At 37.8% G+C, this 25,051-nt stretch overlaps 1 long non-coding RNA gene across 4 annotated transcripts in view, besides 1 other annotated feature; it reads right to left on the bottom strand.

The window, feature by feature from the left end:
- LINC01572 (long intergenic non-protein coding RNA 1572) overlaps positions 1-25,051 on the bottom strand; it is a 384,069-nt gene that overhangs the window by 343,084 nt on the left and 15,934 nt on the right. The window lies entirely within an intron of this gene.
- Positions 2,962-3,520: an enhancer, noted in NCBI's record as "H3K27ac-H3K4me1 hESC enhancer chr16:72660846-72661404 (GRCh37/hg19 assembly coordinates)". NCBI's record gives its function as "activates a minimal SCP1, AML or CMV promoter by ChIP-STARR-seq in naive and primed H9 embryonic stem cells {active_cell/tissue: H9 hESC(naive and primed)}" and the evidence as "EXISTENCE:reporter gene assay evidence [ECO:0000049][PMID:30033119]".

Raw genomic sequence — 25,051 nt, forward strand, 5'->3', positions numbered from 1 at the left:
TAAAAATAGTTTTTAAACAGTTCCAATTCTATGGTAGAAAGAAGCAAATAGCAAAAAAATAAAAAAAATAAATAAAAACATGATGTGAAAATACATGTTAGAAAATGCTTCCAACTAAATGCTAAGGTATAAAGAGAAATAGAAATAGTGGGCTTCAGAAGAAGGGGTAAAAATCAGGTAGTTCAACAGGTTCCTAGTAGTAATCAATAAAATGACTTCTGCTTCACCTTTTAGGAGGAGGCTATACTTAGCAAATCACTGTGTAAGCTGCCTCAATAACAGCATTCCTGCTATCAAGTTTACTTGCAATGATTCCAACAAAGAAATTAATTTCTTAGATGACAAGAAAAGGTTATCTGAAATGGGGAAAACACAGGAGACTAAAGCTGTCTGTTAATAAAACAGACAAGCATCAGTCTAGGCAATGAATTCAGAGCAGTTTTACTCTCTGCAAGATCTGACTTCCCATAGCCCACTATTATACATACATACACACGCCCACATATATACATGTATCAGTGTATATATGCATACATACTTGTGCTGGTTTACTCAGAACTTTCCTAGTTTTAGCACTGAAAGTTCCATGATCCAGAAATTCAAGCCTGGGCAAACTGAGACAGTCACCCTAATCTACAGCTACCAACAGATGCATGAACATGTGTATGTGCACACACACACAAACACACACACACACACTCTCTCCCTTACCCATTCACATCCCCAACTCTAAAGAATGTTTTTCTAGGCCGGGCGCAGTGGCTCACGCCTGTAATCCCTGCACTTTGGGAGGCTGAGGCAGGCGGATCACGAGGTCAGAAGATCGAGACCATCCTGGCTAACATGGTGAAACGCCATCGCCACTAAACATACAAAAAATTAGCTGGGCATGGTGGCAGGCGCCTGCAGTCCCAGCTACTCGGGAGGCTGAGACAGGAGAATAGCGTGAACCCAGGAGGCGGAGCTTGCAGTGAGCCAAGATGGCACCACTGCACTCCAGCCCGGGCGACAGAGCCAGACTCAGTCTCAAAAAAATAAAATAAAATAAAAAAGGAATGCTTCTCTAAAACTTAAAATGCATTTACTCACTCTTCAGAAAACATGTGGTGTTGTAAAATTTTCCAAAAGCTATTATTTATGACCATATCATTAATATATGTAACTGGCAGTGATCAAATCTGAGAACTTACAAACTGCCATTTTGGACAAGTCATCAGATGCACTCCTTCCTAAAGTCTCATGTTTAAATCATATTCACCTCACTAAGTGTTATCAGAGGAACCTGTGACAATTATTCTATTTGTAAATATGAGGAAAATCTCTGAGGTATTCTCAGCTTACCACTTATCAAGAATGTAACCTTGAGATAAATTACTTAGCCTCATTAATTTTCTATTTACCAGTATGTAAAATGGGGATAATAGTACCTACCTCAGTGTTTTCATGAGTATTGAATGACACAATGTACATAAAATGCTTAGTACAATACAGTAGCACAAAATTAATTCCCAATAAATATTATTACTATTGCTAATAGTATTGCTGTACAGATAAAAACTTACAAGTACTTTGAAGGTGGCAGTTGCCTATTCCTGTATTCTTTGGTGGAAATGTTTTCTTTTAAAAATGGTTTTCTCCTTTTATAATTTTTAGACTTCCAGAGTTATTCTGACTGTAAAAACTATGAGACTTTTGAGTAGTTTAAAAGACAGAGTGTTGGCTGGGCACGGTGGCTCATGTCTGTAATCCTAGCAGGCAGGCTGGGAAGCTGAGGCGGGAGGATCGCTTGAGGCCAGGAGTTAAAGACCAGTATGAGCAACACAGCAAGACCACCTCTCTACAAAAAACTGTAAAATGAACCAGGCATGGTGGTGCACACCTGTAGTCCTAGCTACTTGAGAGGCTGAGGTAGTTGGATCAAACTGGTAAGCCATGATCTTGCCACTGCACCCTAGCCTGAGTGACAGGGTGAGACTCTCAGAAAGAAGAAAGGAAGGAAGGAAGGAAGGAAGGAAGGAAGGAAGGAAAGGGAAGGAGGGAAGAAGGGGAAGAGCCGGGGGAGGGGTACGGGGAGAGGGAGGGAAAGAGCATCCTTGTAATAAAATTACTTCTTGATGTGGAATTTCTTCCCATTATTGAATTTCAACGTTAGATGTAATAGTGCAAGTAGAGAGCTTCTTGTCCCCTAACATTAATAAAAAATAGCATTTAATGGCCTGAATTACAGGTGATAAAATTTTATCCATACTAAAATAATAGGTGTAAACATTAAATCAAAATATAGTCAAATTGGATTTTAGAGTTTGCAGAAACCTTTAAAATCACCTAGTCCAAAACCCTCATTTTATAAATAAGACCTCTCAGAGGTGATTTGTCCAATGTCATATGGCCAGAATCAGAGACAGTAAAAGTATCCAACTCTCCTGACACCTAGTCCAATTATCTTTTCAGTATGCTACTCTTCAAATCATTAAACAAAAATCATGAGGCAAATTCTTATTCTAATATTCCTAATAAAAGCCATGTTTGAATACAACAAAAAATAATTAAGAGAAGGGCGTGTAACGAGAAGGCTGAAGGAAAAATGAGTACAACATAGTAGAAGATACCCTTTGAAGTCAAACAGGCTTGTTTCAAATGCCAGCTCTGCCATTCCTTTACTGTGTATCAATGGGCAAAGTATGAACTCTGAGCTTCAGGTCCCTTATTTGTTAAAAAGGGGATAATACTACCTAGAACAATTACATAAGATTAAAAAAAGAGTTAGAAGAGCACAACTGTTGAGAGTCAGACTATCTGTTTGAATCCCAACTCCACAACTTACTCATTGTTTGATCAAGTTTTATGATTTCTCTGAGCCATAGGAAGTATTTTAGCAGAGAACATGGCACATAACTGTAACATGTTTTAGTGTTATCAACATATATAAATCATCTGACACTTAATGATAATAAAAACACAACCACCATCACCAGCAACACAAAAAATACCTGCTTCATAAGTAAAAGTAGACCAGACTGATAAAGCCAACATGCTAAATAAAATCAATGCTAATCTATCCTAAAATATGTCCATACCCTGAAATGTGTGAAAAGTTCATTAGAGTGGGATTAAAATCAGATTCAAAAAGTACAATATTATCTATCTAGTAAATAATCACTTTGTAGTGACACATGTAAGAAATGGTTTTCAAGATATTGAATTTTAAAATGCTCAGTTTCACAAAAGATAAAAAGTCAGAAGTTAGGTAACAGTAGAAGGCTTACAAAGTATGAAAAAAGCTAAAACAGGGGGAGGAGCCAAGATGGCCGAATAGGAACAGCTCCGGTCTACAGCTCCCAGCGTGAGCGACGCAGAAGACGGGTGATTGCTGCATTTCCATCTGAGGTACCGGGTTCATCTCACTAGGGAGTGCCAGACAGTGGGCGCAGGCCAGTGGGTGCGCGCACCGTGCGCAAGCCGAAGCAGGGCGAGGCATTGCCTCACCTGGGAAGCGCAAGGGGTCAGGGAGTTCCCTTTCCGAGTCAAAGAAAGGGGTGACGGACGTACCTGGAAAAGCGGGTCACTCCCACCCGAATATTGCGCTTTTCAGACCGGCTTAAAAAACGGTGCACCACGAGACTATATCCCACACCTGGCTTGGAGGGTCCTACGCCCACAGAATCTCGCTGATTGCTAGCACAGCAGTCTGAGATCAAACTGCAAGTCGGCAGCGAGGCTGGGGGAGGGGCGCCCGCCATTGCCCAGGCTTGCTTAGGTAAACAAAGCAGCTGGGAAGCTCAAACTGGGTGGAGCCCACCACAGCTCAAGGAGGCCTGCCTGCCTCTGTAGGCTCCACCTCTGGGGGCAGGGCACAGACAAACAAAAAGACAGCAGTAACCTCTGCAGACTTAAATGTCCCTGTCTGACAGCTTTGAAGAGAGCAGTGGTTCTCCCAGCACGCAGCTGGAGATCTGAGAACGGGCAGACTGCCTCCTCAAGTGGGTCCCTGACCCCTGACCCCCGAGCAGCCTAACTGGGAGGCACCCCCCAGCAGGGCACACTGACACCTCACACGGCAGGGTATTCCAACAGACCTGCAGCTGAGGGTCCTGTCTGTTAGAAGGAAAACTAACAAACAGAAAGGACATCCACACCGAAAACCCATCTGTACATCACCATCATCAAAGACCAAAAGTAGATAAAGCCACAAAGATGGGGAAAAAACAGAACAGAAAAACTGGAAACTCTAAAACGCAGAGCGCCTCTCCTCCTCCAAAGGAACGCAGTTCCTCACCAGCAACGGAACAAAGCTGGATGGAGAATGATTTTGACGAGCTGAGAGAGGAAGGCTTCAGACGATCAAATTACTCTGAGCTACGGGAGGACATTCAAACCAAAGGCAAAGAAGTTGAAAACTTTGAAAAGAATTTAGAAGAATGTATAACTAGAATAACCAATACAGAGAAGTGCTTAAAGGAGCTGATGGAGCTGAAAACCAAGGCTCAAGAACTACGTGAAGAATGCAGAAGCCTCAGGAGCCAATGCGATCAACTGGAAGAAAGGGTATCAGCGATGGAAGATGAAATGAATGAAATGAAGCAAGAAGGGAAGTTTAGAGAAAAAAGAATAAAAAGAAATGAGCAAAGCCTCCAAGAAATATGGGACTATGTGAAAAGACCAAATCTACCTCTGATGGGTGTACCTGAAAGTGATGCGGAGAATGGAACCAAGTTGGAAAACACTCTGCAGGATATTATCCAGGAGAACTTCCCCAATCTAGCAAGGGAGGCCAATGCTCACATTCAGGAAATACAGAGAATGCCACAAAGATACTCCTCGAGAAGAGCAACTCCAAGACACATAATTGTCAGATTCACCAAAGTTGAAATGAAGGAAAAAATGTTAAGGGCAGCCAGAGAGAAAGGTCGGGTTACCCTCAAAGGGAAGCCCATCAGACTAACAGCGGATCTCTCGGCAGAAACCCTACAAGCCAGAGAGAGTGGGGGCCAATATTCAACATTCTTAAAGAAAAGAATTTTCAACCCAGAATTTCATATCCAGCCAAACTAAGCTTCATAAGTGAAGGAGAAATAAAATACTTTACAGACAAGCAAATGCTGAGAGATTTTGTCACCACCAGGCCTGCCCTAAAAGAGCTCCTGAAGGAAGCGCTAAACATGGAAAGGAACAACCGGTACCAGCCGCTGCAAAATCATGCCAAAATGTAAAGACCATCAAGACTAGGAAGAAACTGCATCAACTAACGAGCAAAATCACCAGCTAACATCATAATGACAGGATCAAATTCACACATAACAATATTAACTTTAAATGTAAATGGACTAAATTCTGCAATTAAAAGACACAGACTGGCAAGTTGGATAAAGAGTCAAGACCCATCAGTGTGCTGTATTCAGGAAACCCATCTCACGTGTAGAGACACACATAGGCTCAAAATAAAAGGATGGAGGAAGATCTACCAAGCAAATGGAAAACAAAAAAAGGCAGGGGTTGCAATCCTAGTCTCTGATAAAACAGACTTTAAACCAACAAAGATCAAAAGAGACAAAGAAGGCCATTACATAATGGTAAAGGGATCAATTCAACAAGAGGAGCTAACTATCCTAAATATATATGCACACAATACAGGAGCACCCAGATTCATAAAGCAAGTACTGAGTGACCTACAAAGAGACTTAGACTCCCACACATTAATAATGGGAGACCTTAACACCCCACTGTCAACATTAGACAGATCAACGAGACAGAAAGTCAACAAGGATACCCAGGAATTGAACTCAGCTCTGCACCAAGTGGACCTAATAGACATCTACAGAACTCTCCACCCCAAATCAACAGAATATACATTTTTTTCAGCACCACACCACACCTATTCCAAAATTGACCACATAGTTGGAAGTAAAGCTCTCCTCAGCAAATGTAAAAGAACAGAAATTATAACAAACTATCTCTCAGACCACAGTGCAATCAAACTAGAACTCAGGATTAAGAATCTCACTCAAAGCCGCTCAACTACATGGAAACTGAACAACCTGCTCCTGAATGACTACTGGGTACATAACGAAATGAAGGCAGAAATAAAGATGTTCTTTGAAACCAACGAGAACAAAGACACAACATACCAGAATCCCTGGGACACATTCAAAGCAGTGTGTAGAGGGAAATTTATAGCACTAAATGCCCACAAGAGAAAGCAGGAAAGATCCAAAATTGACACCCTAACATCACAATTAAAAGAACTAGAAAAGTAAGAGCAAACACATTCAAAAGCTAGCAGAAGGCAAGAAATAACTAAAATCAGAGCAGAACTGAAGGAAATAGAGACACAAAAAACCCTTCAAAAAATCAATGAATCCAGGAGCTGGTTTTTTGAAAGGATCAACAAAATTGATAGACCGCTAGCAAGACTAATAAAGAAAAAAAGAGAGAAGAATCAAATAGACACAATAAAAAATGATAAAGGGGATATCACCACCGATCCCACAGAAATACAAACTACCATCAGAGAATACTACAAACACCTCTACGCAAATAAACTAGAAAATCTAGAAAAAATGGATACATTCCTCGACACATACACCCTCCCAAGACTAAACCAGGAAGAAGTTGAATCTCTGAATAGACCAATAACAGGAGCTGAAATTGTGGCAATAATCAATAGTTTACCAACCAAAAAGAGTCCAGGACCAGATGGATTCACAGCCGAATTCTACCAGAGGTACAAGGAGGAACTGGTACCATTCCTTCTGAAACTATTCCAATCAATAGAAAAAGAGGGAATCCTCCCTAACTCATTTTATGAGGCCAGCATCATTCTGATACCAAAGCCGGGCAGAGACACAACCAAAAAAGAGAATTTTAGACCAATATCCTTGATGAACATTGATGCCAAAATCCTCAATAAAATACTGGCAAACCGAATCCAACAGCACATCAAAAAGCTTATCCACCATGATCAAGTGGGCTTCATCACTGGGATGCAAGGCTGGTTCAATATACGCAAATCAATAAATGTAATCCAGCATATAAACAGAGCCAAAGACAAAAACCACATGATTATCTCAATAGATGCAGAAAAAGCCTTTGACAAAATTCAACAACCCTTCATGCTAAAAACTCTCAATAAATTAGGTATTGATGGGACGTATTTCAAAATAATAAGAGCTATCTATGACAAACCCACAGCCAATATCATACTGAATGGGCAAAAACTGGAAGCATTCCCTTTGAAAACTGGCACAAGACAGGGATGCCCTCTCTCACCGCTCCTATTCAACATAGTGTTGGAAGTTCTGGCCAGGGCAATCAGGCAGGAGAAGGAAATAAAGGGTATTCAATTAGGAAAAGAGGAAGTCAAATTGTCCCTGTTTGCAGATGACATGATTGTTTATCTAGAAAACCCCATGGTCTCAGCCCAAAATCTCCTTAAGCTGATAAGCAACTTCAGTAAAGTCTCAGGATACAAAATCAATGTACAAAAATCACAAGCATTCCTATACACCAACAACAGACAAACAGAGAGCCAAATCATGAGTGAACTCCCATTCACAATTGCTTCAAAGAGAATAAAATACCTAGGAATCCAACTTACAAGGGATGTGAAGGACCTCTTCAAGGAGAACTACAAACCACTGCTCAAGGAAATAAAAGAGGATACAAACAAATGGAAGAACATTCCATGCTCATGGGTAGGAAGAATCAATATCGTGAAAATGGCCATACTGCCCAAGGTAATTTACAGATTCAATGCCATCCCCATCAAGCTACCAATGACTTTCTTCACAGAATTGGAAAAAACTACTTTAAAGTTCATATGGAACCAAAAAAGAGCCCACATCGCCAAGTCAATCCTAAGCCAAAAGAACAAAGCTGGAGGCATCACACTACCTGACTTCAAACTATACTACAAGGCTACAGTAACCAAAACAGCATGGTACTGGTACCAAAACAGAGATATAGATCAATGGAACAGAACAGAGCCCTCAGAAATAACGCTGCATACCTACAACTATCTGATCTTTGACAAACCTGAAAAAAACAAGCAATGGGGAAAGGATTCCCTATTTAATAAATGGTGCTGGGAAAACTGGCTAGCCATATGTAGAAAGCTGAAACTGGATCCCTTCCTTACACCTTATACAAAAATTAATTCAAGGTGGATTAAAGACTTAAATGTTAGACCTAAAACCATAAAAACCCTAGAAGAAAACCTGGGCATTACCATTCAGGACATAGGCGTGGGCAAGGACTTCACGTCCAAAACACCAAAAGCAATGGCAACCAAAGCCAAAATTGACAAATGGGATCTAATTAAACTAAAGAGCTTCTGCACAGCAAAAGAAACTACCATCAGAGTGAACAGGTGACCTACAACATGGGAGAAAATTTTCACAACCTACTCATCTGACAAAGGGCTAATATCCAGAATCTACAATGAACTCAAACAAATTTACAAGAGAAAAACAAACAACCCCATCAAAAAGTGGGCGAGGGACATGAACAGACACTTCTCAAAAGAAGACATTTATGCAGCCAAAAAACACATGAAAAAATGCTCATCATCACTGGCCATCAGAGAAATGTAAATCAAAACCACTATGAGATACCATCTCACACCAGTTAGAATGGCAATCATTAAAAAGTCAGGAAACAACAGGTGCTGGAGAGGATGTGGAGAAATAGGAACACTTTTACACTGTTGGTGGGACTGTAAACTAGTTCAACCATTGTGGAAGTCAGTGTGGCGATTCCTCAGGGATCTAGAACTAGAAATACCATTTGACCCAGCCATCCCATTACTGGGTATATACCCAAATGACTATAAATCATGCTGCTATAAAGACACATGCACACATATGTTTATTGCGGCATTATTCACAATAGCAAAGACTTGGAACCAACCCAAATGTCCAACAATGATAGACTGGATTAAGAAAATGTGGCACATATACACCATGGAATACTATGCAGCCATAAAAAATGATGAGTTCATGTCCTTTGTAGGGACATGGATGAAATTGGAAACCATCATTCTCAGTAAACTATTGCAAGAACAAAAAACCAAACACCGCATATTCTCACTCATAGGTGGGAATTGAACAATGAGATCACATGGACACAGGAAGGGGAATATCACACTCTGGGGACTGTCGTGGGGAGGGAGGAGGGTGGAGGGATAGCATTGGGAGATATACCTAATGCTAGATGACGAGTTAGTGGGTGCAGCGCACCAGCATGGCACATGTATACATATGTAACTAACCTGCATATTGTGCACATGTACCCTAAAACTTAAAGTATAATTAAAAAATAATAATAATACTAATAATAAATAAATAAATAAATAAATATGTAAAAAAAAAAAGAAAAAAGCTAAAACAACAGCAATGATAGATAAGAAAATTTGTAAAAGACCAGCTGCGTATAGAAGAAACATGAAAGAATGTGTCTATTATGACGTGGTTTTCATCAACTCCTAATCAAAAATATAATAAAAGAAAAAGAAACAGTACCACATCCAGCATGTCACCATTTAAGACAACCAATTCCCAGATGACTAGAAAAAATGTATCTCTGAACTGGGTGGAAAGGCATAATTCTTAAATCCAGAGGGAAATTAAACCACAAAGTTTAAACAAAACAGCACGAAAAAATCAATAACTCACAAAATAAAAAATAATAATTTAGTTTTCAGCTTTCTCTTTTTAAAAAATTCTATTTTCAGATCACCAACAGTGGTTTAAGATGCTACCAAGTCTTTAAGCTCTATTTGGTAGGGAAATACCTCTGCTATTTCTAAAGGTAAATAGGGGGTTTTGCATTTAATTTACAATATGGAATACTGCAGAATAACCTCATGCCAAAATGGCACATTTCTGAGGGATGCAAAGGTATTCAATAAAAAGCTTTTAAAGGCATATTTTTAAACTTGCAGCAGGAAAGCTTTTCTGTGTCAAGACAGTAATTCTTTTAACAGCATTGATCAAAATGTCATTCTTTTATGAGTGTACAATACCTTTTAATGGCATACAACAAGCCATTAGGGTTATACACCTCTGTATAGCAGACAGCTTACTGGAAAAAAGCGAACACTGGCCAAGACAGAGTCAGTAGGTTTTATGCTTCTAATAAGGAACATTTTTCCCCCTAGCTGATTCATTCTAAAGTCCACAACTGAAATTATCCAAAGATTAAGTGTAAGCTCTCTTCACTTCGGTAATTTAGAAGCACTTTCACAGAGGCTTAAACTGCAAGGTCTAAACTCTACCTTTGTGGATACCATAAGATGGCCTTGAAAACAGCCTCTCACCCAGGGCCAGTAAGAAATTATTCATGAAGATTAGGAAAGAAATGACGGTTTTAGTACCTTTTCTACTTTCTGAGGAAAGAAGAAAGTGAATTGAAAAACATATTACAAGATGATCACTTTTCGTATTCATTTACAAAACTAAATACTAAAGGAACATTAAAGTTCTATATTATTCTAACATAAAACATCTCTGTCACCTAATATTGATTAGGTAATCTTTCATAAAAGGAAACTATTTTAAAGTAATCTCAAAACAAGTCCTTGTCTTTGAGGTACTCACACCTTAAAAGATATAAAGTAAATTCTGAAATTATTTAGAAGAAGTAATCCAATGAATATACAAACTGACAAAAAAATTCCACCAATTTACCAAATTCTAATCACTCAGGAAATGGGAAACTAAGCAGTGCAATAAAAAATAGAAGGTGAGTACCCCTGCTTTTCTTGTTACACCTTTACTTATTGTTCACTACTAAAAGAAATGCGACTTAAATACAAATAAATTATTCTAATTACAGAAATATCCCAAATAAATTGATTGTAGCCTAAATCTCTGCCTTCTGAAAATGATTTCAGGGTTCGTAGAACTGAAAAATGTTACAAATAGTAGAGAATTCTGAATCAAAAGTAAAACTCAACTTTAGGGAAAACACTAGATGCATTTCAAAACCTTTTCTCTAAAAGCAAAGTTTAAAAAGTAGAATTTGTCTCCTTTTAAAGGTAGGTATGCGTGTGTAGTAGAAAGAAAATGATAAGTTTAAAAGAAAGGTGTTATGAATGGCTCTCCAAATTATGTAATAAAACAGAAAGTTCTGTTTCAGGCAATGTAGAAAACCAAAGCATTTGTACCAATTTCATAACTAACAACAACTAAAAATGCAAGGCAAAATACAAAAACATCTTGACAGGATCCAAGAGTTGAGAAGAAACTACCAATCCAAAATTGAAGTGAAAGTGCAAACTCAGAGATGGTAAGGAGTGCTGAATCTGTCTTTGCCCTGAGGATATTTGGTCAGCCATTCTGACAAGATCTTTAGACTTACAGATCTTATTTCAAATGAAGAACAGAAAACAAAAATAGGGCCAGGCATGGTGGCTCACGCCTGTAATCCTAGCACTTTCGGAAGCTGAGGTGGGCGGATCATCTGAGGTCAGGAGTTCAAGACCAGCCTGGCCAACATGGTGAAACCTCGTCTCTACTAAAAATACAAAAATTAGCCAAGTGTGGTGGTGGGTGCCTGTAATCCCAGCTAATTGGGAGGCTGAGACAGGAGAATTGCTTGAACATGGGAGGCAGAAGCTGCAGTGAGCCGAGATGGCAGCACTGCACTCCAGCCTGGGTGACACAGTGAGACTTCATCTCAAAAAATTAAATAAATAAATAAATAAAATAAAAATTAAAAAATAAACGCCACCTAAAAGTCTAACAGGACACTCTCCTCCCCCAAAAATTAAATAAATAAATAAAATAAAAATTTAAAAATAACCACCACCTAAGAGTCTAACAGGAGACTCTCCTCCCAGGAAGCTGAGACATCAAAGAGTTATCCCCTCAACGTAAAGGTGATGAGAAGTCTGGACCTAGGGGACTAAAAGAAAAGTTGCTTTGATGATAAGCAAAGCAGGGGAAAACAAAAAACCACAAGAACTCGTAACCGCAAATGGGCTCTCAGAGATACAATCTAAATTCACATCACAAAAATAAGTACCGCCCCCCAAATAAATAAACACAGAGTGGTGCCCAAGTGGTAGTGTTCCTGGGTGCCAGACTGTAGCAGACATGAATGTCATCTGGTAGAACAAACTATTAAATACAGTAAACAAGAAAACATGGCACCATGAAAAAGAACCAGCCAAAATAAACCTGCAAGGATTTCATTTATTAGGATTATCAAATGTAGATTATAAAATAACCATGCTAATACATTTAAAATTATTTTTTACACTGGGAAAATACCTCCACAGAAAGAAAATTAAAAATAAATGATCTAGAAGGTTGGAAAGACATTTGAACAAATTAAATATACACTAATTGAAAATAAAAACTCACTGGAGAGGTTATGGAAGATTAGTTTACAACAGACTGACCCTTCCAATAAGAATAACTAGAAAAACTAGGTAAAATACAGAAAACATCTATATGCAGGCATGAGAGAGCTACTAATGCAGCCAAGACTCAAGGGTCCAAAATCTTGAACAAAAGAGAAGTACAGGGAAGTAACCTCAACTTTCAGCATGAATTTTCCCAAGTCATTTGCCAATTCTCAAGAGGCTGGGAAGCTAAGTAGAGCTGTTAGCAGTATCACAGACTAGGGGGAAAAAAACTTGAAGTTTGGGAACTGCTTGCAATAAACCAGAAGTGTATCTGTAGAATGAAACCCAACTATATATCATCTCAATCTCTGACTATATTGTTAAACTGTCTCTATTCTACCTACCTGCCAGAAACAAAAACAAACCCTCTTTGGAAAAAATTAGTATCTGACATTCAACTGACAATTACTAGGCATACCAGGAGACAAATCTATAAGAAGGAAAAAATAAAAGAAACAGACCTATAGGAAACACAGGTGTTAAAGTTATCAGATCCAGACTTTAAAATATCTTTGACTAATATGCTCAAGAAAACAGAAGAGAACTATAGCTTCCCCTAAAAAACATGGTAACCACCTAAATCCAAATGCCTCCACATAACCTCCATAAAACTTTAAAAATAATGAAGAGATGAGGCTACATGGGTATTGCTAAAAGAAAAAAAAATTAACTGAAAAAACCCTCATAATCCATGTCTATGGCATAACTAAGAGGCACAGAATAGTACAAACTTCAAATGGATTGTCAACTAAAGGAAAAAAATCAGGCTTTTAAAAAAGAAAATTTAGTTTTATTCAGTCTTACTGAAGACTGTAACCCAGGAGAATCTTTCAGAGAGATTCCCAAGCAGTATTTCAGCCCCTGTATCAGGGGGTGGCAGTTCTGCATCTGCTCATAAGTTACATTAAACATGCTCACAAGTTACGTTAGAGCAAAGTGCCATCAAAGTTTGGGTGTGAGAGTACATCTTGTTACTGATTACAGAGGCATAGTCACTAATCCCTCAGAATTTATCTTATATACAGGAAGAGCCAAGGGCTAGGCTAGGATCACTGACCTCATCTTAAAAAAAAAAAATGCAATGATTCCATCAAGAGATGTGATAACCTGGGCATCCTGCTTACAGTCTCCAGGGCATTCTTCCAGAGGGCTGCCCTCCATCACTGAGTCAGAGCCTTTGTGAAATTCTTCTGGCAAGCAGAATGAGCAAACATGGTTCCTTACATTTGCTACTGTGTCTCACAACATGTAAGTAGAAAATTGGACACTAAAATCCAGGAGCTGTCTCTAGAGCCCATGCCAGAAAAAAACAAGATAGACACTATGTGGAAAACATAGAAGGAAGCAGGGAAGCAAAATACAGATAAAATAACCCCAGAAAGTATAGAAATCCTAAAATTAGGTGTGAGACCTGTTAGGACAGAGCACTGATTACTATAGAATCTAAAGGAAGGGACTTCCAATTATAAGAAGGAGAAGTAACACTCTTGGGGAAAAAACCACTTCTCCGGGAGAGGACTGTGACTTAGACATGGGATTCCTGAGATATATGATGGTAAAGAGAAAGAAGAAAATAAGAGATAAGAGATATTAAAAAAAAAAAAAAGAAAAAAAAAAAGGTCCTGGGCAGTGGCTCTCAGTTGTAATCCTAGCACTATGGGAGGGTGAGGCAGGACTGCCTGAGGCCAGGAGTTTGAGGCCATCCTGGGCAACATGGCAAGACCCTGTCTCTACAAAAATTAAAAAAAAAAAAAAAAAAAAAAAAAAAAAAAAAAAAAAGCCCAGCACAGGGTCATGCACTGTTGGTCTCAGATACTTGGGAGGCTAAGGTGGGAAGATCACTTGAGCCCAGGAGGTTGAGGCTGCAGTGAGCCATGTTCACACTACCACACTTTAGCCTGAGTAACAGAGAGACCCTGTCTCAAAAAAAGAAAAAAAAAAGAAAAAAAAAGAATAAAAGAATAAAAGATAATCATAAAATCAGAGAAACACCAAACCCACCTCCCCTTCCAAGAAAATCAAAAACAATAAACACAAAAAACACACCAGGTAGGTTAAAGAAACTGCACTTCACTATAATAAAAGAATAGGATGTTTTTGAACTAAGAAACCTTGTAATTTCTCTTTTTACATAAACTATTATTGCTGGTTAAGAAAAATAAAATTTTCAAACCTGATCAGAAAACAGGCAACAACTATAAAATGTTATAAAAGAATAAAAATAAAGAAAATGAAAACAAGAATGCTTCAGCTGATAAATAGCATCCTCAAAAAAAAAAAAAAAAAAACAATAAGGCAGAGAAAACTATAATACATCTTAACCTGAATTCTATGTTGTTAAATAAGTATTTACAGATTTTTTTAAAAAAATCCTCTTAAATCAAACATTCAACAATTCAGTTCAAAAATGTCAAAAGTCTGGCCAGGTGTGGTGCCTCTCACCTGTAATGGCAGCACTTTGGGAGGCTGAGGCAGGTGGATCACTTGAGGTCAGGAGTTCGAGATCAGCCTGACCAACATGGTGAAACCCAATCTCTACTAAAAATACAAAAATTAGCTGGCTGTGGTGGCATGCACTTGTAACCCCAGCTACTTGAGAGGCTGAGGCACGAGAATCACTTGAACCTGGGAGGCGGAGGTTGCGGTGAGCTGACGTCATGCCATTGTACTACAACCTGGGTGACAGAGCAGGACTGTCTCAAAAAAAAAAAAAAAAAAGGCAAAAGTCAGAAAGTTTTAAAATGAGATGTAATTGGTTTCATGCCCAAAAAATTAAAATTAAAAAAGACAAAAATGGCCAAGCACAGTGGCTCACGCCTGTGGTCCTAACTACTCAGGAGGCTGAGACAGGAAGATCACTTGAGCCCAGAAGGTCAAGGCTGCAGTGAGTCGTGATCATGCCACTGTACTCCAGCCTGGGTGAAAAAGTGAGACTCTGTCTCAAAAAAATTAAAAAAAAAAAAAGAGAGAGACAAAAATTATTTTAGAAATTAAAAATAAATATAAAGTACCCAAGAGAAGGAAAGACTGACTGAAAATAAAATATGTATCATTGAACAAAGCCATAAAAACAGCCAAGAGAACAAAACAAAATGAAGTAGAGTAGTAAGCATCAGGAAAATGGCCAGGAATGGTGGTTTATGCCTGTACACCCAGAACTTTGGGAGGCTGAGGCAGGAGGATTGCTGGAGAATAGGAGTTTAAGACCAGCCTGGGAAACATAATGAGACCCCATCTCTGCCAAAAAAAAAAAAGAAGAAGAAGAAGAAGAAGAACCAGGAGAAGAAGAAGAACCACCAGGGGAAAAGAGAGAGAAAGAGGGTCCAACATACATAAAATTGTAAGACCCAAATAAGAAAATAAAATAATGGAATAAAACTAATATTTAAAGTTATAATATGGGTTGGGCGTAGTGGCTCATGCCTATAATCCCAACAGTTTGGGAAGCTGTGGCAGGAAAATTGCTTGAGCTCAGGCATTCAAGGCCAGCCTGGGCAATATAGCAAGACTCCATCTGTATAAAAAAAACTTTTTAATTAAAAATAAAGTTGTAGGTGGCTGGGTGTGGTGGCTCATGCCTGTAATCCCAGCACTTTGGGAGGCCAAGGCAGGTGGATCATGAGGTCAGGAGTTCAAGACCAGCCTGGCCAACATGGTGAAACCTCGTCTCTACTAAAGATACAAAAACAATTAGCTGGCCATGGTGGCACATACCTGTAATCCCAGCTACTCAGGAGGCTGACGCAGAAGAATTGCTTGAACCTGGGAGGTGGAGGTTGCAGTGAGCCAAGATCACGCCACTGCACTCCAGCCTGGGTGACAGGGTGAGACTCTGTCTCAAAAAATAAATAAAATAAATAAATAAATAAATAAATAAATAAATAAATAAAGTTGTAGGCTGAGTGCCGTGGCTCATGCTTGTAATCCCAGCAATTTGGGAGGCTGAGGCAGGAGGATCGTTTGAGCCCGCTAATTCGAGACCAGCCTGGGTAACAAAGTGGGACCCCATCCCTACAAAAAATGAAATAATTAGCCGGGCATGGTGGTGTGCACCTGTAGTCCCAACTGCTCAGGAGGCTGAGGTGAGAGGATCACTTGAGCCTGGGAGATCAGGGCCTCAGTAAGCTATGATTGTGCCACTGCACTCTAGCCTGGGTGACAGACTGAAAACCTGTCTGAAAAGTAAATAAATAAATAAATAAATAAAGTTGTAATATACAAAGAAAAATCAGAAATAAAACAAGATATAAATGTATACATTAAAAAGGCCTACAAAGAACTTGGAAAAACTGATACAAATACTTAAACTGAGATGTACTGCAATATACAACTAGGCTTTAAAGATTTTTAAAAAATCCATCCAAGGGTAGGGAAAATAAGCACAAATCTTCTGAGATTATTTGTAAAGGAAGCAAAATCGAACCAGTGTCAGACTTCTTGGTAGCAACATAGAAAAGACAATAATGAGTAGTTAGGAATTAAAGTATGTCATTTAAACTGACAATCCAAACAGCTGAAACCTAAGTAAGTAAAAGGCAAATGAAGGAAATTAAGAGCATTATAAATAATAATATAAAAGTAACCACCAGAATGAAAATACAAACCTCCCAAAATACAAGACAAAAACAAAAACAAAAAATAAAAAAGGAGTGGGGAAAGGAACATACTATTAATAGATTATGAAAGAAACAAAGGAAATATAATACACCCAATAAATGTATATAAAATAATGTGACAGAGACCACATAAACCATATCAATGAATGTAAATAGATTTAACTTACCTATTTTTTAAATTGTAAATGTTAAATTTCAAATGGACTCAAAGTAAAACTCTACACTGTATTTTACAGAAACACAAAGTGAATCAGAAAGGCTAAAAATACAAGGGATAAAAAAGGTATTCAAGGCAAATGAAAACAATAAGTAGGTATTGTAATACTGATATTAAACATGAGAGAACTGAGACCTAAAAGCATGACATAAAGAACACTTTATGATATAAAGACTACAATTTCCAATAAAGATGCAATAGTTATGAATATCTATCCACCAACTAACACAACTGCTTTAATAAAACAGAATCAAAGAGAAATAAAGGTGCAAGAAAGAAAGAAACCAAACAGAAAACATCAAAATCTCATACTTAGTACAAAACAAGTGTACAGAAAATACAAAAGGATGTGGAAGACATAAACAAAACAAGCTTTATCAGTATCTATACATTTAAACACCAATAACAGAAAAACAATCTTTTTCAAGTGCACATGAATATTCACAGCTGCTTTACCCTTGATAGCCAAAAATTGGAAATAATCTCAGCGTCTATGAATAAGAGAATACATGAAGAAATTGTGGTATATTCAGTGAGGGATGTAGGTACCAAAATGGCATATTTGACTTATGTCAAACTAACTAAATGGAGTCAGGAGGCCAGGAAGAAGGAGCCTTCACATATGAATGCCTGTAACAGGTTTTATTACAAGAAATTCCTGCATGTCTTACATGTACCCTTGTAACAGACCTTATCATGGGAAATTTCTCCAACCAGATAAGCTACTTGCACAAGGACACTTGCCTTGCAGTGGCTGTCTCCACCACTGAACTGATGTCAGCTTCTGCAACAAGCCCCTCTAGCCAATGGTCTTGTTTAGCTTATGTGGACTTGTTTTTTGTCTTTAAAAGTTTCCCGTTTTCCCCTAACCCTCTTGGATGTACCTATAGTCTGCTTATGGCAGGTTTATCCTGGACTTCAGTCCTCTGCTATTCCTGAATAAACTCTTTGCTTTGGAGGGCTGGTCTCTGGATCACTCATTTTAGGATGACGGTTCATGCAGTGGAATACTGCATAGCAATGAAAAAGAGCAAAAGATTGCTATAAACACATAAATGACACAGCATATTATTTTAAGTAAAAGAAACTAGACACAAAGTAGCAAACTTTTTTTTTTTTTTTTTTTTTGAGATGGAGTTTCGCTCTTGTTGCCCAGGCTGGAGAGCAGGGTTGCCATCTTGGCTGACTGCAACCTCCGCCTCCTGGGTTCAAGCGATTCTCTTGCCTCAGCCTCCCGAGCAACTGGGATTACAGGTGCCCGCCACCATGCCTGGCTAATATTTTGTAATTTTAGTAGAGACAGCCTGTCCATGTTGGACAGGCAGGTTTTGAACTCCCGACCTCAAACAATCCACCCGTCTCAAGCTCTCTAAGTGTTTGGATTACAGGCGTGAGCCACCACGCCCAGCCTCAAACTTTTAAACGAAGTTCAAAATCAAGCAAAACTAATTGATATTGATAACAATGAGAACTGTGGTAACCTCTGGGAAGACAAAGGGTGGTCTGGGAATGAACACAGGGACTTTTATGGGCTGCTGGAAATGTTCTCTATCTTAATCTGGATCTATCCACAGATGTAAAGAAATAAATTTTTTTGAACTATACACTTAAAGTCACTACAATTAGTACAGTTTATTGCATGTCAGACAACCAAAACAACAAATGCAAGTCATGAACAGACACATCATACACACACACACACAAAATACAAATGATCAGAAAACATGTTCAACTTCATTGGACATCAAGGAAATGTTAATTAAAAGACTGGTACAACCCAAACAAGATTGACTAAAATTTAAAAACCTGATACACTATTTGTGAGAGTGTAAATTGGTGCAACCATTTTGGAAAACTGTGATGTATCTACTTAGCTAAAATATGCATTTCTCTCACAAACTTAATAAACAGGCTTCTCATCTACTCTATTTTAGTCAGAGCCTCAGTCCAACAGCTACATCCACAGTTCTTTTCTAGACATTCTTAGGTCTGCTACATCTTTTTTTTCCCTTTTGCTTTCACTTCTCTTCTTAATTATGGGAATTTTGGGCCCATCAAGGATTTGAGGCAGGGACTCTTTTCCATGAAATATTCTGTTCAATTCAAAGAACTTTCAAATATACCCATAGGTGAAATTCATTCTGAGACAGGATCAGTTTTAAGGTTTTATCAATGGACGTGAAGGTCAGGCCCTTGATTTGATCCTTACTAAAAGACTGAGTTTTAATTGGCCGTTGTCACTTAAAGCCTTTATAAATTTTATCTTTGTGAAGTCAGGATTAAGAAGCAATTGTGCCTCTCCCAACACCATAGTTCCTTTTAATTCCCTTTCATTCCTGTTTTCAAAAATGACAATTCTTTTCTGATCTGTGCTTTCTTGTAATGCCTTCTAAATGCATCCACCAGCAATGAACACACAACAACACTGACACAAAGCATTCTGTTTTCCTACCTTTTGTAGTAGAACTACAAATTTACTAAGTACATGATCTGTATCAAAGATAGATGGTTAAAAAAAAGGTAGGTCTTCATATAACATTTCATCCTTTGGAAAACTTGAATGGTCTACAGTTTATGAAGTCCCACCTATTAATGTGGTTACTAAAATAACACCAGATGGAAGGAAACTATTCAAATATCAATCCATCGCTCATTCCTTCATTTCAGATCACAAGAAAAATGAGAAGATCACCTAAGTCTATGAGATTTAACTATAACTATGAAATGCATTTTAAACTGGGCGCAGTGGCTCACGCCTGTAATCCCAGTACTTTGGGAGGCAGAGGTGTGCAATCACTTGAGGCCAGGAGTTTGAGGCTAGCCTTAGCAACATGGTGAAACCCTGTCTCTACAAAAAATAGCCAGGTGTGGTGGCGTGCACCTGTACTCCTAGCTACTGGAAGGCTGAGGCAGGAGAACTGCTTGAGCCTGGGAGGTCGAAGCTTCAATGAGCCGAGATTGAAGTGCAGGTCATTGCACTCCAGCCTGGGTGATGAAGCAAGAGCTTGTCTCAGAAAAAATAATAAATAATAAATATATAAATATGCTTAATTTTTTTTAAAAAGAAACATATTTTAAATGCCATAATATATCCTCAGGCAACAGTAAACTGGCATCCTAATTTTTAGACTGCAAATATAACTGAACCAGATCAGATAGAGCAAAATAGGTAAGAATTTCAAATATGATTAGCTACATTGCACTTTTATGTAAAATTCATAGATGATAAAAGACATTTAAAACCTTTCTCCCCAGTATTTTCAGCGTAGGCACTTAATATATAAAATGACCATCACATTGAATGGAACACCACAAAACCAAGTGCATTTACACCTTCCATTTGCTCTGCATGTATAATTAAACTCAATAAAATGAAAGTACAATAAAATCTTTCCACAATGTTAGCAGGTCACCCTCAAGCAGCTTGACCTATACATGGCTGGTCTAGCCAGATTAACCTATTATTTACAAATCAATCTTCCTCTCTTTTCTACCTACAATACTCCATACACAGCAACAACTGGAGAGAAAAATAAAATCTAGTAATAAAGATTCAAAAATCCTTGCTGTATATTCAGGAAATTCAAATAAAAAGCTAACACTAGTCTTAAATATTACACTGCTTATAAAACATTCAGGGAAAACAAACAAATAAACATAGCCATTCTATCAAGAGACATTCCAGATAGCAAAATAGTTTTAGGTGAAATAGTGTATTATTAGATTAACTATTATTTAAATAATATTTTTTCATTGAAACTTAAAAGGATATAAACCATTCTATGTTATATGCTAATGAGATTTAATCAGTCATTATTTACAGAGCAAAGTTTGGCTCATCCAGTTCTGGCATTGATACAATTTATCAACTGACATGTTATGCTTACAGCATATTACTTTCCTTGATCAAATAATTGAGATCTTGTTGTTCTGTTCCACAGGAAAGGAATATCTTTCAGATCTCAGACCATTAGCTTATAAATTCTATGGCTTTGTTAACAAAAAAAAGATAGTGGACATCACTAAAAAACTGAAAGTAAAGACCTCTGGCAGGGAACAGTGGCTCACATCTGTAATCCCAGTACTTTAGGAGGCCAAGGCAGGCAGATCACTTGAGCTGAGGAGTTTGAGACCAGCCTGGCCAACATGGCGAAAACCCGTCTCTACTAAAAATACAAAAATTAGCCAGGTGTGGTGGCGGGTGCCTATAATCCCAGCTACTTGGGAGGCTCAGGCAGCAGAATTGCTTGAACCAGGGAGGCGGAGGTTGCAGTGAGCAGAGATGGCATCACTGCACTCCAGCCTGGGTTGACAGAGCCAGACTTCATGTCAAAAAAAAAACCTCTGAAAATCCTCCATAAAATCAATGAGACTACAAGAAAAAACAAACAAACAAAGAAAAAAAACCCCAACTTTTTCAGAACACTAGAAACTAACCAAAGACTTCCAGCAATCCAGAAAATGACTGTTACAAAAACAATGACAACAAAACCACAGCTAAATCTTGGTTAAGAACGCTGAGATTTGTGGCATTTAAATTTGCTCTATGCGCATCTGCCCAACCTCGGCAACACAGGAGTCTTGAAAAACAATAGCCACAATCAACAATGACTGTCCAAGAAGTTGAAACTCTTTCAAAGCCCTATTCTCAGAGTATTGTCATTATTGGACCTGGAAGACTCCACATATACTGTCTTTATTTGAAATGATCCAGAGCTTACCAGTGTGAAAAGCATTTTCCTTAGAGCATTAATCAAAAACAACCTGAGACAACAGTTGAATCTAACTCTTAAACCAAATTCTCAAAAGTCAACAACAGCAAAATGAACTACCCAATTTAAAAATGGGCAGAACATTCCGAACAGATAACTCATCAAAGAAGATACATTGACGGCAAATAAGCATATCAGAAGATGTTCACCAAAATATGTCATTAAGGAACTGTAAATTAAAAGAACAATGAGATACTACCACACATACTTTCACCATCTGATCCAGCAATCTTCCTCGTTGGTATTTATCCAAATGAGTTAACTTTATATTCACGCGAAAACCTGCACACATATGTTCGCAGTAGCTTTGTTCATAATTGTCAAAACTTAGAAGCAACCAAAATGCCCTTCGGCAGGTAAATGGATAAACTATGGTAAATCAATACAATAGAATATTATTCAGCACTAAAAAGAAATAAGCTGCCAAATCAAGAGAGACACAAAGGAACTTTACATGTATATTACTAAGTGGAAGAAGCCAATCTGAAAAGGCTACATAGTGTATGATTCTAACTATATGGCATTCTGGAATGGGCAGAACTATGAAGATCGTGAAAAGATCAGAGATTTCCAGGGCTTAGAGGGAGAGAAGGATAAATAGGTAAAGCATAGAAAATTTTTAGGGCAATGAAACTATTCCTTATTTTTTTTTATGTTTTAGAGTCTCGCTCTTTCTCCCAGGTTAGAGTGCAGTGGCAAGATCTGAGCTCACTGCAGCCTTGACTTCTCAGGCTCAGGAGATCCCTCCACCATAGCCTCTCGAACAGCTGGGCCCACAGTTGCTAATCTACCACGTCTGGCTAATTTTTGCATTTTTTGTAGAGACAAGGTTTTGGCATGTTGCCAAGGCTGGCAATACAACTATTCTGTATGATACTAAAATGATAGATACATGTAAATTATAACAAACATACCACTCAAATGCAGGATGTTGATAGGGGAAGAAACTGTGTGGTTGTGGGAGCAAAGGGTGAAGAAGAACTCTATACTTTATGCTCAATTTTCCTGTGAACAATCTAAAACTGTTCTAAATCTGTTTAAAAACAAATAAAAGAGAAAACTTTAAAAAATATATGAATATATTACAGAAGGATATAAATTACCAAAGGTCACCTATACTTCCCATATCCATTGTTTATATTTTGTTATATTTCCTTTTAGTAGTTGTTATATTTCATTTATATTCATGGAGATGATATCATAGATATTTTGTATTGTACTTGTTCGTGATCTGACAAAACACTCATTTTTGTCTTCACAAGCATTGCTTAAGAACAGTAAGATATTCTATGAAACTGATACAATTTACTTCACAATTCACTTCACAATTCATTTTATTGAATATACACTCCTATGGCACTTAACATATGCTAGGCAGTTTGAATAACTTTAAAAATATTAACTCTCAAACTTTTAAATTTTTATTTTCTTACTTCAACATTCAGGGGAACAAACATATTAAGTCTTTTAAACTCAAAACAACCTTACAAAGTTGGAAACTGAGGCACTAAACAAGTAAGTACCAAAGGAACTCAACTATTAAGTGATAGAGCTTAACCTTTTTGACTACAAAGCTCATACTGTTCATAACCACTATCAATGCTGCCCCTAAGTATGTCTCTTACTATTGAATATTTTAGGTTGCTTCTACTTTATCTAACACTATAATAAATGCTACTATGAACATCTTCACTGATAAAATGCTTAATTTCAACAATACCAGAAATATACAACACAACAATAGCCAATAAAGTGAAGACTGCTTATTTCAGTTACTTACCTGTCATATTACCTTTTGTCCTGCTATTGCCAAAGACACCTTTACTTTTGTCTCCTTTCTCTTCTTTCTGAGCTCTTACCACATTCATAACTTCAAATATCTCTTTTATATGGGCAATGCCCTAATACATTTCTCAAGACAAGAACTCTTGCCACTTATAGTCTTTATTCCTGATGGCTAGACAACTTTACCTGATTGTGGTGGTGGGGGGGGTCTCTCAAATTGCTATGTCCTAAGCTATCTCCATCAATTCACCCCTCAAACATGCCTTTGCTCTACATTTTCACCATTCTCCCAATCACCAAGCTTAGAAATCTCAATATTTTATTTTTCTTTCTCCCTTTTGTTCCTCTGATCTCCAAAAAGTTGGCTTGTCCATTTGTGTGCCCCATTAAAAACATCGATAATGCTCCACTACTTTAAAAAATACATTTCAAACTTGAAGACCTGGAATTAATGATCTGAAAAGTCCAACCTTATTCCCCATACTCCTTTACTGAAGCAAAAAAGTAAAGTACCTGCTACTTTTCATGTAAGTTTTATTCTTTGTTCATATATTTCCTGCCTATCGTTAATAGGTACAGGAAGGAGATATAACAATCCAAAATGTGTATCCACCTTTAAAAAAGCATAACAAATATGACCCCAGAAAGTTTTTTTTTTTTTAAAAAGCCCACAAAAAAGAAATTATGTCAAAGAAACACAAGAGACAAATGAAAGCTTTCAAGAGCCAAAGCTGGAAAAATCTGTGCAACAAAATTAAGTAGTAATGGATTATAACCCAAAGTATTAAATGAATATACATGAGTCCATACTAACATAAATAAGTGATTGAGTAAGCAAATAAATGGGAGAGAATAGACAAATCTCTCATGCGGAAAAATTCCAAATAATTTATGTAGATACTCTGCTCTTAAAAAAGTAGAGCATAACTCCCTTCTCCCTAAGTGTGCACTGTGCATAGTGACTTTCTTCCAAAGAGTCCAATATACAAAGGAGGGAAAAGGGAGTAACTTTACAGCAGAAAAACCTGACAAACACTACCTCAGCCAGGTGACCGCCCAGTCTAATCACAAAAAAACAAAACAAAAATACCCAGGTAAATCCCAATTGACGGACATTGTATAAAATACTTGATCATTATTCCTCAAAACTTTCAAGGTCATCAAAAACAAAGTTTGAGAAAGTGTTACAGCCAAGAAGAAGGAAGCTAAGGAGACACGAGTACTGGAAGTAATATGGGATACCAGATGCAATCTT

The sequence above is a fragment of the Homo sapiens genome, chromosome 16, assembly GCF_000001405.40.
Source record: "Homo sapiens chromosome 16, GRCh38.p14 Primary Assembly".
NCBI classification, from domain to species: domain Eukaryota; kingdom Metazoa; phylum Chordata; class Mammalia; order Primates; family Hominidae; genus Homo; species Homo sapiens.